The 18644-nt window shown below is 34.7% G+C and overlaps 1 long non-coding RNA gene across 5 annotated transcripts in view; it reads right to left on the minus strand.

The window, feature by feature from the left end:
* The window catches only part of LOC102724858 (uncharacterized), a 175348-nt gene extending 158018 nt beyond the window's left edge, over positions 1-17330 (minus strand). For 2 of the 5 annotated variants that reach the window (XR_929061.3, XR_007060968.1), the window contains exons 1-2: positions 17163-17313; positions 15048-15177 (exon numbers count right to left, since the gene is read on the minus strand). This is a non-coding gene — a long non-coding RNA (uncharacterized LOC102724858). Of the gene's footprint in view, positions 1-15047; positions 15178-17162 lie in introns of all 5 variants that reach the window. The other 3 variants (XR_001745961.3, XR_929062.4, XR_007060967.1) reach the window with 2 other exon arrangements.
* Positions 17331-18644: the final 1314 nt, after the last annotated feature.

Raw genomic sequence — 18644 nt, forward strand, 5'->3', positions numbered from 1 at the left:
CTTCATGCCAATAATATAACACAGTACTCAATAAATAATACGAAGTGTAGTTACTGTCTAATTTTCTCTGATTGCATGGTTGGTATCATTTAATTGGATCATCAGGAAACCAATATTCAGAGACTATAGTAATGTTCATGGTAATACCTAGCAGTATATGGCAGAGCTACAATAAAGTTTACTCCATATTTTCTATGTTTCATCCATTACAACACTTTGCTTCCAAAAGTGATTGCGCTGTAAGCAGATAAATAAACACCTTTGATTAAATCTCAGTGCACACCTATCATGTATTATTATTATTATTATTTTGAAGCAGACTCTTGCTCTGTCATCCAGGCTGGAGTGCCGTGGTACCATCTTTGCTCACTGCAACCTCTGCCTCCTGGGTTCAAATGATTCTCGTGCGTCAGCCTCCCAGCTATCTGGGATTACAGGCATATGCCACCATGCCTGGCTAATTTTTTTGTATTTTTAGTAGAGACCAAGTTTTGCTATGTTTGCCAGACTGCTCTCAAACTCCTGGCCTCAAATGATCTGCCTGCCTTGGCCACCCGAAATGCTGGGATTACGGGCATGAGCCACCACACCTGGCCCAATGTATTAATTTAAAATATCCAGAACCACAAAAGGAAAGTATTTCTTTTACTCATTCCTGTTCCAGATAAAAGCAATCAGAAAGGGACTAATAACAAGGATACATAGCATGAAGAATCAGTCGTAGTCCTAGTAAGAATTACAACATAAAGGTAAGCATAGATTTATCACAATACTCAAAATGAATGATTCATGAATTTTTTTTAATATGAATGTCCTTCAGGAAAGCCACATTCATCTTATTGATGCTTAGAAGAAATGTACACAATCATAAGAGATTTGAGTCTTTAATTCTAAATTCATGCATCATAATTTTTGGGTAATTTGTGTTTAAGAATAATTTATACAATAAATTTAAATATTTCATTCCAAGTCATCAGACTAAGGAAACAGATAAAAATAGTATCTGTTATCAAATGATCAAGAAGGGTGGTGTGTGTGTGTGTGTGTGTGTGTGTATTTTAATTAATTGGGACTTTTAATAACCACGGTCAAGTCTATATTGCTATATTCTGTGCAAAAAGAGCACAAAATAAAGATGACTTTTCAGAGAATTCAGAAAAAGCAGAACTGATTTTCAAAACCATTCAGAGAATTTCAAGAAAAGCTAGAACTAACTTGATATACATGATATATACATTCATATATGTATAGATACATGCATTTGTATTAAGTTTTCTTGCATATGTATATGCATATAGTCAAAATATAAGGGACAATGAAATTTAAGAAATCTGCAAGAGTGATTCAATTAACAAATAGGCCTATTAAGTAGATATTCTTTCTAATTTTTCCTATAACATATTTGGCTCTATGCAGTCATAATGAATGAGGAGATATATTAATCATTAACATTGATTGCCTTGTATTCTATTTTTGTCTTTTTCTTGTTTGCTATAAAAGTCTGTGGTAAATTAGGAATATATCAATTTTCTTCTGAAAATAGGGAAAATTCATGTTTTCTTATTGAGCACCCCATTCTAGCACTTGGTATTTAATTGTTGTCTTTCTCAGACTTTGATTCAAAGTTAGATTGGACTGTATCAAAGTTAATAATTAAATTAACTTAAATGTGAACTATTCCAAAGTAACATTTTGGGTCCTTTCCCACTGGAAATGAATTATTTAAAATCCATTGAGGTATTATGCCTTCTCTTAGGAGAGCAAATTTACCTTTGAAGGAGCAAGTTTCTTCATACCTGAAACAGTCATAGAATTTAGAATTTCCTTAAATATTTGCATGTTTTTTTCTGTTTATATTTTGTCATCACATTACTTATGATGAAAATTAATCTAACTCTATAAAATAAAGAGGATAGGAATTTACAGTATAGACATAAATTTAAAACTAAAAGGTAGCTATAGTTTACTACAAAGCCCAGAACAAATTGCATCTGAAAATAAGGTAAAAAGGAAAAGCCCTCTGATTTTGCCAGCCAACAATACCTGTTGTTACTGTTTGGTAGTTTGAACTGAGTAACATACTGCTTTAATTTGTGGAGATACCAAAGTTTATAATAGTCCATATTTTTTCAGTTAACCAGTGAATTTAAGATACACCAGTGACTCTGTTACACATGAGTACTATTTTTCTGGAGGATATGATAAGTAGATGGTAAATACATCATTCTCTTGAGTTTGAGATATTAGTTACTAATGATCTAGGGATGAAAGGCTTTGGAACCCAATTACAATTTTTTTCCTATCCAAATCTTTTATATATAATTTTAAATAATAAACCATATTTTATATATATTATAGAATCATGAAGGAAATATAAAATGAACAAGATTACCTTACCCAAACTGCTTATATATTTTATGAGATTATTCATTGGTTTTGAGTGGATTTGTTATACGGTCTTTAGGCATCCTTAAACTTACAGCCTAAAAGAGGAAATGATCTAAACATTAAAAATGAAGTAAGAAAATAGTACACTTTTAAAGGATCTCAGCTTCATAGCCAGGATTTTACATCTTCCTTTTTGACTCAATCAGACCACAATCTCCAGTTTTTTAAATAAGCAATATAATGTGATTGGAGTAATTGCAGGAATATCATATGAAATATCTTAAAGGAAGTCTGGTCAAAGGAAGTTTTTTAATGCTATTGACGCTCTCTCACTCTTTAAAATTTGATCCCTCCCGCTAATACAATTTTTTAAAGCATATGAAAATTTATAGTCAATAAAAAAATTTCAAAACCAAAACATGCTCAGTATTTCTGTTAATGGTTTCTCCTTTCCCTCAGTTTATATAATATTATCTTATTGTTAAAAATACAGCATTGATTCCATGTGTTAAGCTCTCAGACTTTTTCTTTTGATATGTTTCTTTAAATGTGCCCATTTATGGATCTTTGAATCAGGAAAAGGAGAATGATTGTCCTAATGAATGTTTTAAATCAAGAAATATTTCAGATGATAGTATATATAATATGTGCTTATAAGATGCATGTTCTAATAAAAGATATTCCCTAAACAAGGTGGTGGATAAGACTTGATGGCAAAGATTTTTGATGTTTTAAAGAATCAGCATACTCCTCATTCTGTAAGAAGCAGTAAGTTTAATGGCACTTTAAAGTTGAACTAAAAAGAATTTGTGCCCAGCGTAATTTTTCAGTTTTGTGTTCCAAAAATAGACTCTATATGGGTACATTTAACCAGTTATTGAATTTTTAAATTACTTTTCATTTTAACGGCAAAATAGTATTACCACTTAATACTAAATGACAAAGAAAAGCCTATTTATGAAGGAATTTTGACTTTATGAAAGTGGCAGTGTCCGGGAATCACATGAATGGACTTCATTCTCCATTTCAGGTCTGAGTGGATGTGCACACTATGCTTCATGTATGGAAGAAATATCTCCCTCTGCCCATCTCCAACTCAAGAGTTCCTTGAATCAAGAGAAGCATGACTTGGCTAAATGAAGATAGTCAGTTACTAAACATATTTAGATTAATCTATGTATACAGACAGCCATATATGTCATTTTTCCTGCACTTTTGGGTAAACATTTTGTTAAGAAACATTTAAAACATATATAAAGGTAGAGATAATAATTACTCACTCCCCTCCCACCTACCTGTCATTCAACTTCTACAGCTGTGAACATATGATCCAAATGAGTTTATCTATAACTCTCACATCTCCATCCCCCAGGTTATTTAGAATAAAACTTGGATTTACATATGATTTAATTTATGTCAGTGCACATTTCTAAAATAGGACTTTTTTTAAAAAGTATTTTTAATTGACAAGATTGTATATAATTATCATGTGCAATATGCTGTTTTGAAAAAAAAAATATTTCAATCAATTATCACAACTTCACATCATTAAATATCTCATTAGTTTGTAAAGTTACCTCATTGTCACATAAATATTTTAAAGAGCTTGTATGAAACCATATCCAAATTAACTTTGTATATTGCAATGAGTTAATGTTTATTAAATCTCATTTAATTTATAGGTTTTCCTGCCTTTTTAATTATTTCCTCTTGCAACTCATGCTTAAGAAACTAGAAATTTAGTTTCCCACAGTCTAGAGTTTGCAGATTGCCTCCTTAAAGTGTTATTTAACATATTTCCTTCTCCACTGTATATCATGTAAACTGGTGATTAGAAAAAAAGACAAAAAAATCTTGATAAGGTTTAATTTTTTGGCAAATATGTTTTATAAGTGATGTTATAGTATAATTCCAGTATAAACGATATGATATCTTGTTGTCTTTTTTATTATAATCATGGCCTAAATTCATTTATTGATTGGAGGTTTAAAACTATTAAGTTAAAGAGTTTATCAAATTTGATTCATTAATTAGCTGAAATACTTCATAAGGAAAACCCTTCAACTATTATTTAGTTATCTTGATGTAAAAGATAACTATTCTGACTTTTTTCTGTAGAAAAGTCAGGCTAAAATGCTTAATTATTTACTTTTGCTTATCAAGTTTTATTTAATATATCTTCCCTCTGTCATTCTTCAAAGCTAAGTTGAACATATAATTTATTGTTCAAAGCTGGACATACTTCAAAGTGAAAGTGGACATTATTCATTATTATACTGGGACAACAAAATAATCCACACTGCCTGTTATTTGTAAACCAGGATAGTCACTCTATGCAAATGTGACCAATGAGGTTTTAGGTTGTGAAACTTATTTTGCTTATAAATAATCATCATAAACTCATGTATTCAGACATATTTGACACATTTCAACACTTGCAATTATTACATGCATTGATGCTCAGATAAAGGTTGTGGCAAAGCCCATTGGTCATGACCCTACAAATCATTAAAATCATCTTTTATTTCTGGTATGCCAAGACTTTGCAAGATTATCTCATATATTTTATGCCCAAAATATGAAATCAGCCATTTCTGCAAAACCCGTTTCCTCCCTGTTAGAACTGGTACGTAGACACCAAATTCTGGGAACCAAGTTGTTTATTGCTACTGGTTTGATTGTTTCTGAGCCTTTTGGTGGACAGAGCTAGAAAATGTATTTTAAAACATAAAATAAAATAAATTGTAAAATCTTACTTTCATATTAAATTCAAATTCAAAACTATAGGGTTTTTACTTAGCCTCTTTAATCTTACTTTTGTATCTTGTTTCCCCTAAGTTAAAATCCAGTTTCTCAATGACACTAACATAGTTATTTGTTTTATCTCATTAGATGCATGCAGTAATTTCAGAATAATAATACTAATACTACTTCCAACAATATGATTACTGACCAGAGTTTAAATTTTGTCTACTTTTGAGTTTCATTTGCAGTTCTTTTTTTTTCACAGTATATGAACTAGGAACATTTAATCTTATCATTGGGTTTTAAAGTATCTAGAAATAATTCCTCTTTGGTGGTTATGAGTTATACCATCAATTTGATCTAATATTAGATTCATTTTATTCATTTTGCTTTACATTTTTAGGGATTTTTTAAAAAGTAGTTTTAGTTATACAGAATATTTATGTGATTCCAAAGTCAAATCTATGAAATAGATATATTCAGAGATGTCTTGGCCAGGCATGGTGGCTCATGTCTGTAATCCCATCACTCTGGGTGGCTGAGGCCGGTGGATCATCTGAGGTCAGGACTTTGAGATCAGCCTGGTGAATATGGTGAAACCCCATCTCTACTAAAAATACAAAAATTATCCAGGCGTGGTGGTGCGTGCCTGTAATCGCAGCTACTTGGGAGGCTGAGGCCGGAGAATCACTTGAACCCGGGAGACGGAGGTTGTGGTGAGCCAAGATCGCACCACTGCACTCCAGCCTGGGTGACATAGCGAGACTCCATCTCCAAAAAGAAAAAAGAGATGTCTAGATTCTATTGCTTACGCATACACATACCAAAATGCACATGCATATAAACTTAAACACACACACACAATTTCCTTTTCCCATTCACATGAATGACCCTTTCTTGACTATTGTACTTCCCTTTTCCCTGTTTTTATTTGACATAAAAAAGTGACTTATGTGTTTTTATCCAACCTTTCTTAGAGAACAGTGACATACTTTATGAATTTTTCTCCTCTTGCTTTCTCTTTAATATACTCTGAAATGACTCCACAGTCGTATAGAACTACTCCTCTTTTCCCCTTTGGAACTGCTTAGTATTGTGTGACAATAGTGTTCTATATTCTAGTCCATTATAGATGGACATTAAGTGGTTTGCAGTCTTTTCTTCTTTCAAATAGTACTGCAATGATAGTTATCTGTATCACTCTCTATTTGTCTGCACAAGTTAAAAAGAGAGTTTTAGAAGTGATGTTACCATATCAAAGAATAAATGCCTATATAATATTACTAGAATTACCCAACGACTTCTCCAGTGAAGTTGTTTAATTTTTTATACCCACTAAGAATGGTAATATTACCAAAAGCTCACCCACATTTTATATTATCAAAATTTTTAATATCTGGGAGGTGGTAAATCAATGTACTTTTAACTTATATTTATCTTAAGTGAATTTATTAATGTATTTTTAGAAATGTACATTTATTTTTGTGAATGTTTTATTTTAATCAATATTATAATTATCCATATTGCTTATGGGTTTTAATAATAATTATGAAACATTTCCCTGTAATCATAGAAAAACGCACTTAGGTATTCTTCTAGAACTTTCATGCCCTCACATTTTACATTAAAGTTTCTGATGAATTGGAATTTTTAAAATTTGTCTCATGATAATGAATCCAACTTTATCTTTTAAAATATATAACTATCCTTTCATATTATCTTCACCGATTTAAGAAGCCATATTTCCATATACAATTAAGAATAATTCTAAATTTTATTTTTTCTACATTAACTTTTCAGGCTATGCATACACTAGTATTACACTGTTTTAGTTAGAGTGTCTTTACAATATGTTATAATGTCAAACAGGCTTAGTTGTCTTCCACTGCTTCTTCCCAAGTCATTTCTATATCAGGATTTTATGATTATGCTTATTTGTTATTACAGATGATCTTAATTTTAAAAAATAGTTTGTCTACCTTTTGGGAAATAGAAAAAGCCTAATTGTATATTTATTAGAATTGTGTCTATTTTACAAATTAACAAAAACCTGATCATAGACAGATAGAGATTAGATACAGATTTTCTATTCAAAACATATTGTCTTTACATTTATTCAAGTCTGTCTTTGAACCCTTCAGGAATACTTCTTCAGTTCTTTATTTATACTCCATATATCTATCTCCAACATAAAATAGATAGTATCATCCATTTTGGATTTTATTCATTTTTAAATGTATACTTGAAGATTACTGATTTTGTATATTGACTTTATAAGGTATTACTTTAATAAATTATCTTTTTTTGTAGTAATTTTCTCCATAATTTCCACTGGGCTTTCCAGATGTATTATCCTATCATGCAAACATAGAAACAGCATTTCCTCTCCCTTTTCGACTCTTTCTCATGCTGCTGATTACTTTCTTTTTTCTAATTGCCTTGTTTAATATCTACAATACAGATGCTGGGTAGTTAGTTGGCATCTTAATCTTATTTCTGACTTTACCAGGAAAACTTCTTGTGCTTCCACATTAAGTATGATGCTGTCTTTTGTTCTATGATACATATTTGATTATGTTAAGTAAGTTTCTATGCAATCCTGTTGTACTGAGAGAAGGGTATTAATTTTCTGCATCTATAGAAATGATCAAAAAACATTCTTACTTATTCTGTAAATGTGATGAATAATATTAATGGATTTCTTAATATTAAACCACTTATGCATCTATGAAATAAACCCACATGAACATGCTGTATTATTTTTTATAAAGGCTGTGTTTCTGATTAGCTATATTTTATTTGAGATATTTATATTGATAATCATAAATACGGTTTTATTTTGGGGGCCTTTGATTTTTGATAGATTTAGGAAATCAGTGGTATACAATTTATTTTAAATCAATGTAGAAATTTTATTACTTTTATAGTATAAGTGAGTTAAAGTAGAATTGCGATTACTGACCTTTAAGTGTTTGTTAGAGTTCACCTGTGAATCCATATAGGCCTGGTGTTATTTTTGCACTTTAATTCTGTGCTTCTGGTGTGGTGATTAAGCCTTTCTGTCTATTCTGAGGTAAATTGTGTTCAATTTTACTTTTTCAGAAAATGTACTCATAGCATCTTCAAAGTAGATCCATGATTTTATGTTTTAATTTTTATATTATTTTTATTAAGTATAATTTGCATAAAATAAAATGAGTAGTTTGGTAGGTTTTGACAAATGCTGCAGCTTTTTTTTTCTTTATTTTTTCAGTGTTTTTTACAAAGTGACCTTGCAGTTTATGAGGACTGCTGGGTCTGTGTCCTTCCTGCAGTTTCGTCTGAATACTTAACTTTCCTTTGCCTCTCCAGTCCTTATCCTAGAGGTGAATTAGAATCCTCACAACCTTTCCTCAGCACAGAGCTCTTGTGACAGATGGACTATTAATGTGGCTTTCATGACCTTCTCCCCTAGAGTGTAGGCAGAACCTGTATTTTTTTCACAACCAATGAAATAGAGCCAAGGTGGTTGAACATATGTAATTACATATACTACATGACTATGCTACCTAAGGCTGTAGCACTTGTTTTACTGAGTTTTTTCTTTCCCTCGTTGCCTCATATACCTCACACTCAGTTTACAACCATTACCAACATGTTAGATTACCATAGTATCATTTGTTTTTTATTATTTTTTCCATGATGTCTTTTTTCTGAACCAGAATATTCTCCAAGACTCCACATTACATTCAGTTATCATATCATTAGCCTCCTCTGGTTTGTGAAAGTTTTTCAGATTTTCTGCGGTTTCAATAACTTTGAGGGTATTGAAGATTCTTGGTCAGTTATTTTGTAGAATCTCCTTCTATTGGAACATGTTGATGTTTTTATCATGATTAGAATGGAGCATTAGGTTTTGAGAAGAAGATCACAAAGGTGAAGTGACATTCTCATCACATTGTATCAAGGATGCATATTATCAACACAACATATTACTGATTGTGGTAACTTTTATCTCCTGGCCAAGGTATCACTTGCCAGGTTTCTCCACTGTAAAATGACTATTTCCCCCATTTTCATTCTCTAATATTTGAGAACAAGTCATTTATCACACCCACACTCAAGTAGTGGGAAGTTAAGCCCCACCTCCCTAAAAGAGGGATATCCACATAAACTATTTGGAATTTTTCTCTTCAGGAGATTTGTCTTTCTCCTTCATTTACAAAATTATTCAATAATTTAACTATGTCAGTGCTGACTCATGGGTGTTTATTTTACACTTTGAGCCATAACCCAATACCACATTACCTATTTTGTTAGTCAAAATGTTCTGGTCTTTTCCAGGTTGTCTTCTCTGTCCCTTTGACATACCCCTATCATTTTGTTTTTTAGTGCTTGCTTCCTTACTTTCTGGTAGTGCAAGATGCTCTAGGCTCATTGGTGTACTCCCTGGCCCAGCCCTAGTTATAACCAGTTCTCCAAAGAACCCTAGTTCTTTCTATTGGCAAATGGCATTAGAAACTAAGATCTGAACACTGGGCTTGCTCATTGCTAGACTGAGCATTCTTGCTTCTATGCCCTCTCAGTGGGCAGAACTAGGAAATATATGCATGCATATCTACTCATGTGTACATACATATCTATAATTATTTCTGTATCTGTCCATCTGTATTTATATTAAGCTAAAAAAGCATCAATACTGATACCCTTCACTGTCACCCAGTACAATGTGATTTATTGGGACTTTTTAATAAAAAGCCTCTTGCTTACCTACACCACCCACTCCAAAAATGAGAAGTCTGGCTCCCACCCTCCACCTCCATGCATGTGTTTGTTCAACTCTCATTTACAGGTATAGCAGTTTTAGAATTGATAACCCATTCCCACCTAAGAAACAATTTTACCAACTAGAGTACAGTATGTATGTGCAGATATGTGCAGATCCTTTTGTCTTTAGTCTTACGGTTTCCAGTCAAAGCCATTTTCCAAAGTTACTCAAGTTAGCACTCATTTTCCCAAACCCTTCAGTAATATGTGTGGTGTTAAAGTGCCAAGTTTGTGGTCATTTGTTACACAGTGATAGAAAACTAATATCCTGTGATGCAGCAATGATGTTTTGGTTGACTAGTTCTGAGATCTCATAGGTTCTGGACTATTCCATAATTATTCAAATTTCCTGCAGTTTCCTTGTTCTCTCCACACATTGGAGCTTGTGAAGGCCACCTCCTACTTCAGCTATTGCTCTAACCAGTCTGCAGGACGTCTCATTGACACTATGGTAAATTTGTGATCTGCCAAATCGTGGTGACTTGTCTCTACTCAGTGGTATTTTTCCTCCTACCTTTGCTGTTAAAGTTTTGTGGGTTTTGATTTTTTTTTTCTATCTTACTTGTTTCTATGGGCTCTTAAAGAGGTACAAAAACTATACTGTCACATGCACTACCTTTCCACATTTTAGTTTTTTTTTTTTTTCAAAAGTATTCATTTTTGACTATTGAGCTTGCAAGGGACTTTTGTCATCATCTATAAGATGAGAAGAAGTAACTGAGGTCTTAAATACAAGGTATCACAGTTAATTATGGAGAAAGAATTAGAGCCAGGGATTCCAGAATAATAAGACAAATACATTTAGCATACTCTTCTGCTTCTCTTATATCATTCAGAAATGTCTTCCCATTTTTGGTGAGAGGCAGGATTTTTGCTCTCAAAATGCATCCAGTTGTTTTAGATATAGTTATCAAATATTCCAAAATGTCGAATTTTACAAGCAAAGGCAGATGAATGTGGAAAATCTGAGCATTTTATTATTCTCCTTATGTTGTATCTTAATCATTTTTTACTATGCCAATTTAATTTAATGCCTAAAGCAGTAATTCTCAAATATAAAGGTGTATGGATAATTTTGAGATTTTTAAAAAAATCTTAGTCTGAGGTGGTACTTGAGGGTCAGCATTTCTAACAAGCTTCCATGTGACATCAACATTGATGATCCACGAACCTCAGCTTGAGTGGCAAGGACCTAGAGCAATGGTCCCAACCTTTTTGGCACTAGGGATGGGTTTTGTAGAAGACAATTTTTCCATGGACCCGGGGACAAGGCATGGGGAGTCGCTTCAGGATAAGCCAAGCATATTACATTTACTGTGCTCTTTAGTCTGTTATTGTTACATTGTATTATATAATGAAATAATTATACAATTCACCATAACATAGAATCAGTGGGAGCCCTGAGCTTGTTTTTCTGAAATTAGATGGTCCCGTCTCATGGTGATGAAAGACAGTGACAGATCATCACGCATTAGATTATCCTAAGGAGCATGCAATCTAGAGCCCTCGCATGCACAGTTCACAATAGGATTTGTCCTCCTACAAAAATCTAATGCTGCTGCTGATCTGACAGGAGACGGAGCTCAGACAGTAATGAGAATGATGAGGAATGGCTTTAAATACAGATGAAGCTTTGTTCACTGGCCCACTCCTCACCTCCTGCTGTGAGGCCTGGTTCAGGCCATGATTGGTACTGGTTCATGGTCTGGGGTTTGGGGACCCCCGACCTAGAAGACCCATCAATGGGTTTCAGGTAGTTGTGCATTTTCTGATTTTATACATGCATACAGAGAGAGCAAAAGAGAATGAGATAAAGAGAGATAATGCACAGTTATCATAAAAGTTAAAAGGATTTATGTACTAAAAATGTTAAGAACAGTTACCCTACAAGATAAAGTTCATATTCCTTAAGATGAATGTAAAATCCTTATAACCATTCCATTTTGCTTTTCCTCCATTGTCCTTTAAGTATCTGATAGTCCAGCCATGCTCAGAATTTGCCATGAAGTCTAGAATCATGCAAGATTTCTAATAGCTACTACTTCAGATAGAATTAGTCATATTTTATTCTCACAAATCACCTTTTATATACTTCCATTCATTCTTTCAGCTAGCATTTACTAAATGCTTCATACATATATAATGTTTTGCGGTAAGTATTAAGCATATAAAAATAGGCCACAGTCTCTATTTGTGAATCTTTGTAGTCAAAAACTACTGTATTTATTGTTAAGGATTTTTGCTCTGGTAATTACCCTGGAACCACATGTAGGTTGGTTGAATAGGTGAGAAGGAAGGAAAGAAAGAAAGAAGGAAAAAAAGAAAGAAGAAAAGAGAGAAAGAAGAAAAAGGAAAGAAAGAATGAAAGAGAAAGAAAAAGAATGAAAGAAAGAAGGAAGGAAGAAAGGAAGGAAGGAAAAGAAGGAAAGAAAAAGAAAGAAAGAAGAACAACAGAGAGAGGCAGGGATGGAGGAAAGGAAGAAGAAAAAGAGAAATGGAGAAAGGGAGGAAGGAAGGAAGGAAGGAAGAAAGGAAAGAAGTTGTAAAAAAGAACCAGGGTGGCAGGTGTTGAATCTCAATTGGAAAGTCTGAAGAGTTGTGCTATCTGTTAAGAATAATACAATTTGTTGGAGTGGTATTTGTTAAGAATAATAAAATTTGTTGGAGTGGCATTTATCACTTTTAAAATATATAATTTAAAATAATTTTTGTAAGTGAAGATTTATAATATCAGAAATCTGTATAAGAAACTATTAATATGCCATCAAAAGCCATCACCACATTCCATTTTTTCCTTATCCTATACACAAGAAAATTATTAAGAAACAAAATTAACAATCTCTTTCCAAATTTCTGAATTGGAAGGATGCTATCCAGTAGGATGGCAGGTACTAGTCAAGAAAACATGGGGACTTGATGTTTGAGTGGGATTGCCATGTTTTACTGATACAAATTCTGATTTGGTTCTCCCAAAGGCTTCTGATCACTGTGTTTATAGGGGTGTGAGATAGGGTCTAAAAAGCCTGGCTTATAATTTTTAATAGGCTATTTTTATTCAGGGGAGTTGTTGCTACTAGACAAGTGCCTTCATTGCTAGGGACTTTATGCAGATATGGGAAATAGCAGCATAGTAGGAGACACTGGAAGGAAATTGTGCAGTTTGATCCACAAAATTGCTAACAGTGGGAAATGTCCCTTTGCTTTGATAATCTCTGTAGAATGTATTCCATGGGCTGAACTAAAAATAAATAAATCCTACAGCATGCTAAACCATTGTGAGGAAGTACAGTGAGAAGTGGATTGACAAACGAGAGCAAACAATAACAACTGAAATAATTTACCAAGACAACTTACAAAATAAGTCACTAAATGCATGTACAGGCATTTGAAGTTTCATCTGGTGGAAGGGTTGTAGAGAATATTCCTTGTCCCCCTCAGTGTGTTTAATTTTCTTCTACTCATTGTACCAAGGTCTGGCCTCATTATAAGCATGCTATTCCAGGTGAATTGAAAAGAAGTTGCATAGATACCTTGCCATTATTAATCACTGCCTCTATTGTCAAAAGCTATTTGCAGATATTTTATCTCATTCTATCTAAAAATTATTCCGATGTATTTATGGTTTGCTCTTCTTTTGTACTACAATTTGGTACATGAAAATGGTGCTCCACAAATCAGGGAGTAGTGAAAGTAATAATTTGTCCACACAAATTAGACTCTGATGTACTACTATTCTCTAATGTCTCTCATATTCGCCTTTGCATCACCAACCACTGTGGATTTTTTCAAATGTGCAAAGAAAATTGCAGCTATTTAAAATAACCTAGAGAGGGAGAATGATAGGCAATATCCTAACTACCTTAGCCCTTTACATTTCAGCAGCCTTGTTGCCAAGGAAACCACTTGGGACTTTAGGGAAATTTGTGGATATTTAAAATGGATTGTGCCCGTACATAGATAGACACTTGTACAATTCACATGGCAGAATAAAAAGCTTCCAGCCCTGCAATATTAAGCCTGGAATTTCAAGGACTGAAAAGAGGAAATAACAAAATGCAAAGGTTTATTCACTTATATGCCAACACGTATGCTGTTTACAGTATTTCAGATTATTATTAGGCTAGGCAGTTAAAAAATAAGAATCTATCGAGCAGAATAAACAATGCAATATAAACCTCATAAAACTTACACTTTTATTTGCATTTCTGATTTGCAAGTTTAACATTGCATCACCATTTTGACAATTTCCAAGGTATACTGCAGTTTTTAAAATCTCAGCAGAAATGCAGATAAATTCCTTACTGGGCTCGGCTGGAAATTGACTGAATTCTATGTAAGTGCAGACATGAATCTTTACTCATAATACTGTGAATAAAATGCAGATATTAGAAGAGAAAGAAGCTAGGCTGACATACCAAAATCCCTTGAGTGGGTTTTTCAGTTTCTATGTGTTTATGTCTGCCTTCTTATTTTTATTCCTTTACAAATTTCTGCTGAAGATGGGATATTCTTAGTGAGAAAACTGACTGCAGAATAGAAAGCAGGCATACAAACGGACTTTCATATATTATTTCCACATATATTCATGGTCAATTTTTGAACCTATTCTCAGAGTCTTGCTCTCCCTAGACATGCAGGATGACTTTTTCATATTCTCCTTACACTTCTGTCACACGGGAGATTCAGCTTCCCCCCACCAGCTCATCTTAAGGAACTCAAGAGCATCGATACAAAAGGTCTGCAAAGCGCAAGTCACTGGCCTGACAATATATATGTCTGTTTTAACAAAGATTTAGCTGACAGGTAGTTACACGGGAGCTCCTACCTTTGATGGTTCCAGAGTGTGAATAGTGAAAATTCATGAAACCAGAAGTAAAACATTGTGTAATGGTTAATTTTAATGTGCCAACTTGACTGCACCACAGGGCGCCTATATATTTAGTGAAGCATTATTCTGGTTGTGTCTATGGGGGTGTTTCTGGGGGAGATTAACATTTGAATTGGTGGTCTGAGTAAAGCAGATTGCCCTCCCCGATGTGGATGGGCATCATCCACTCAGCTGAAAGCCTCTGTAGAACAAAAAGCAAAGTAAGGGAGAGTTTACTCACTCTATCTGACTGTCTTCAAGCTTGGACGTTGGTCTTCCCTTGTCTTCAGACTCACACTTGGAGTATAACAACGTATATCATTAACTTTCCCAGGTTTCTGCTGTCTTCAGATCTTGAGACTACTCAGCCTCTATAATTTCATGAGACAATGCCATATAATAAATTTATTTACAAGCATATATATTATGTGTATATATTTACACATTTAATATTTATACATATATATAACATTGCATACATATTTATATAATTTAACATTGTGTATAAAAATATATTTCCCTTTGGTTCTGTCTCTCTCTGGGGAACCCAGACTAAGACATATGTGTAATTTAATAATATACAGTGTCTATTCTTTTAATAATTCACCATTATGAGGTGTTACAATTTCAATCACATTCATTCATGGACATGTGTTCTCAGCAAAAAATAAACATTTATATAAACATAACTTTCAGATACTAGCTGAAGATTCATAGTGAACACAGCGTGCTAACTTATCCTATTCTAAATTCCTTCTAAAATTATTTAAATGATAGAAAAATTAGAGATATCATGCCTCAGGATCCAGGATTAATAGGAAGTACAATTTACCTAAAAATAACACAGAGGAATTTCAGTTGGATATTTTCTAGATAGAGTTCAAATGAAAATTTTGAAATAACAACAACAACAAACAAAGTAAAAGCAGAAAGACAAGAGAGGAATATTTGGATGCAACAAATGGACCTGATTGCTAGAGGCAAGAGCTAGAAAGAGGGGTAATGACAGAACCCTTGCCTTGGAATCCCTTTCTCCAGTAAGAATAAGAATATTAGAAAGTAATTCATAGAGAATTCCAGAAGCATCTCCAAGTAGAAAACACAGTGGGCATCAACAGCTGCTTTCTCCCTACCTCAGCATAATTGGGCTTTTCTCTGGATCAGCAGGCCTGCTGCCGGCTACAGTGGGCACTGATACCAACTAGACTTTGAGGAGAAAAGGTTAATATACGCACTTGATTTTGGACATATTTGTTATTGATAATCATGCCACCATTTGTGTGTGGGTAAAGAGGAAAAAATCATAACACATAGCATATAAAAAGAGTACACACAATAAGATAAGGTGAGCTCAGCCCATCAGAATCAGAGAAAAAACCTACTTAAAAAGTTTTTCCAAACCTACAGAATAAAGAAGTAGATTTTAAAAAGTGCCTGCTTTGTCTTGCAGTAAAAAGAAAAGAATTGAACACCATGAAACAAGAGATGAAAGATGAGAGGATAAGACAACAGACTGAGATATAAAATGGAGCTAGCTGGGAGCCAGACAGAAGGGCAAAAGGAGCTGAACGAGATAAGGAAAAAATGAAAGGAAACTCAAGATACAATAACTAATTTTAAAACTGCTTTGAAAGCAGTAAAGAGAGGAATCCATACTGTAAAAACTGAATCAGTGATGTGAAAGCTGAACTTTTGAGCCTTTTTTTTATTATTAAGCAATAAATTGCTCAGAGTTAGACTATATTTTTAAAAAATTAAAAACATAAAATTAGCCATAGAAAAAATGAACAAATGAGAATTATGGCAGAAATTGATATATTTTTAAATAAATAAATAAATTTTAAAATAACCACATTATTAAAACAATAGGAAAGCACAACATAGTTGAGAAGCCTCTAAGTAGTATATTTAAGCAAAAAAAAGAAACAAAGAAAAATACATAAGACATATAAATTTAAAAAGGCTAAAAATAAGTAAGGGAAAATAAACAGAAATATGGAAACATAAGAAAGAAATGCCAGGAGGAGCCAAGATGGCCGAATAGGAACAGCTCCGGTCTACAGCTCACACCAATGCAGAAGACGGTGATTTCTGCATTTCCATCTGAGGTACTGGGTTCATCTCACTAGGGAGTGCCAGACAGTGGGCGCAGGTCAGTGGGTGCCCGCACCGTGCGCGAGCTGAAGCAGGGCGAGGCATTGCCTCACTTGAGAAGCCCAAGGGGTCAGGGAGTTCCCTTTCCGAGTCAAAGAAAGGGGTGACGGACAGCACCTGGAAAATCCGGTCACTCCCACCCGAATACTGCGCTTTTCCGACGGGCTTAAAAAACGGCGCACCACGAGATTATAACCCGCACCTGGCTCAGAGGGTCCTACGCCCATGGAGTCTCGCTGATTGCTAGCACAGCAGTCTGAGATCAAACTGCAAGGCGGCAGCGAGGCTGGGGCAGGGGCGCCCGCCATTGCCCAGGCTTGATTAGGTAAACAAAGCAGCCGGGAAGCTCGAACTGGGCGGAGCCCACCACAGCTCAAGGAGGCCTGCCCGCCTCTGTAGGCTCCACCTCTGGGGGCAGGGCACAGACAAACAAAAAGACAGCAGTAACCTCTGCAGACTTAAATTTCCCTGACAGCTTTGAAGAGAGGAGTGGTTCTCCCAGCACGCAGCTGGAGATCTGGGAACTGGCAGACTGCCTCCTCAAGTGAGTCCCTGACCCCTGACCCCTGAGCAGCCTAACTGGGAGGAACCCCCCAGCAGGGGCACACTGACACCTCACACGGCAGGGTATTCCAACAGACCTGCAGCTGAGGGTCCTGTCTGTTAGAAGGAAAACTAACAAACAGAAAGGACATCCACACCAAAAACCCATCTGTACATCACCATCATCAAAGACCAAAAGTAGATAAAACCACAAAGATGGGGAAAAAACAGAACAGAAAAACTGGAAACTCTAAAAAGCAGAGCGCCTCTCCTCTTCCAAAGGAACGCAGTTCCTCACCAGCAATGGAACAAAGCTGGATGGAGAATGACTTTGACGAGCTGAGAGAAGAAGGCTTCAGATGATCAAATTACTCTGAGCTACGGGAGGACATTCAAACCAAAGGCAAAGAAGTTGAAAACTTTGAAAAAATTTAGAAGAATGTATAACTAGAATAACCAATACAGAGAAGTGCTTAAAGGAGCTGATGGAGCTGAAAACCAAGGCTCGAGAACTACGTGAAGAATGCAGAAGCCTCAGGAGCTGATGCGATCAACTGGAAGAAAGGGTATCAGCGATGGAAGATGAAATGAATGGAATGAAGTGAGAAGGGAAGTTTAGAGAAAAAAGAATAAAAAGAAATGAGCAAAGCCTCCAAGAAATATGGGACTATGTGAAAAGACCAAATCTACGTCTGATTGGTGTACCTGAAAGTGATGGGGAGAATGGAACCAAGTTGGAAAACACTCTGCAAGATATTATCCAGGAGAACTTCCCCAATCTAGCAAGGCAGGCCAACGTTCAGATTCAGGAAATACAGAGAACTCCACAAAGATACTCCTCGAGAAGAGCAACTCCAAGACACATAATTGTCAGATTCACCAAAGTTGAAATGAAGGAAAAAATGTTAAGGGCAGCCAGAGAGAAAGGTGGGGTTACCCTCAAAGGGAAGCCCATCAGACTAACAGTGGATCTCTCGGCAGAAACTCTACAAGCCAGAAGAGAGTGGGGGCCAATATTCAACATTCTTAAAGAAAAGAATTTTCAACCCAGAATTTCATATCCAGCCAAATTAAGCTTCATAAGCGAAGGAGAAATAAAATACTTTACAGACAATCAAATGCTGAGAGATTTTGTCACCAC

The sequence above is a fragment of the Homo sapiens genome, chromosome 8, assembly GCF_000001405.40.
Source record: "Homo sapiens chromosome 8, GRCh38.p14 Primary Assembly".
In the NCBI taxonomy this organism is placed as follows: domain Eukaryota; kingdom Metazoa; phylum Chordata; class Mammalia; order Primates; family Hominidae; genus Homo; species Homo sapiens.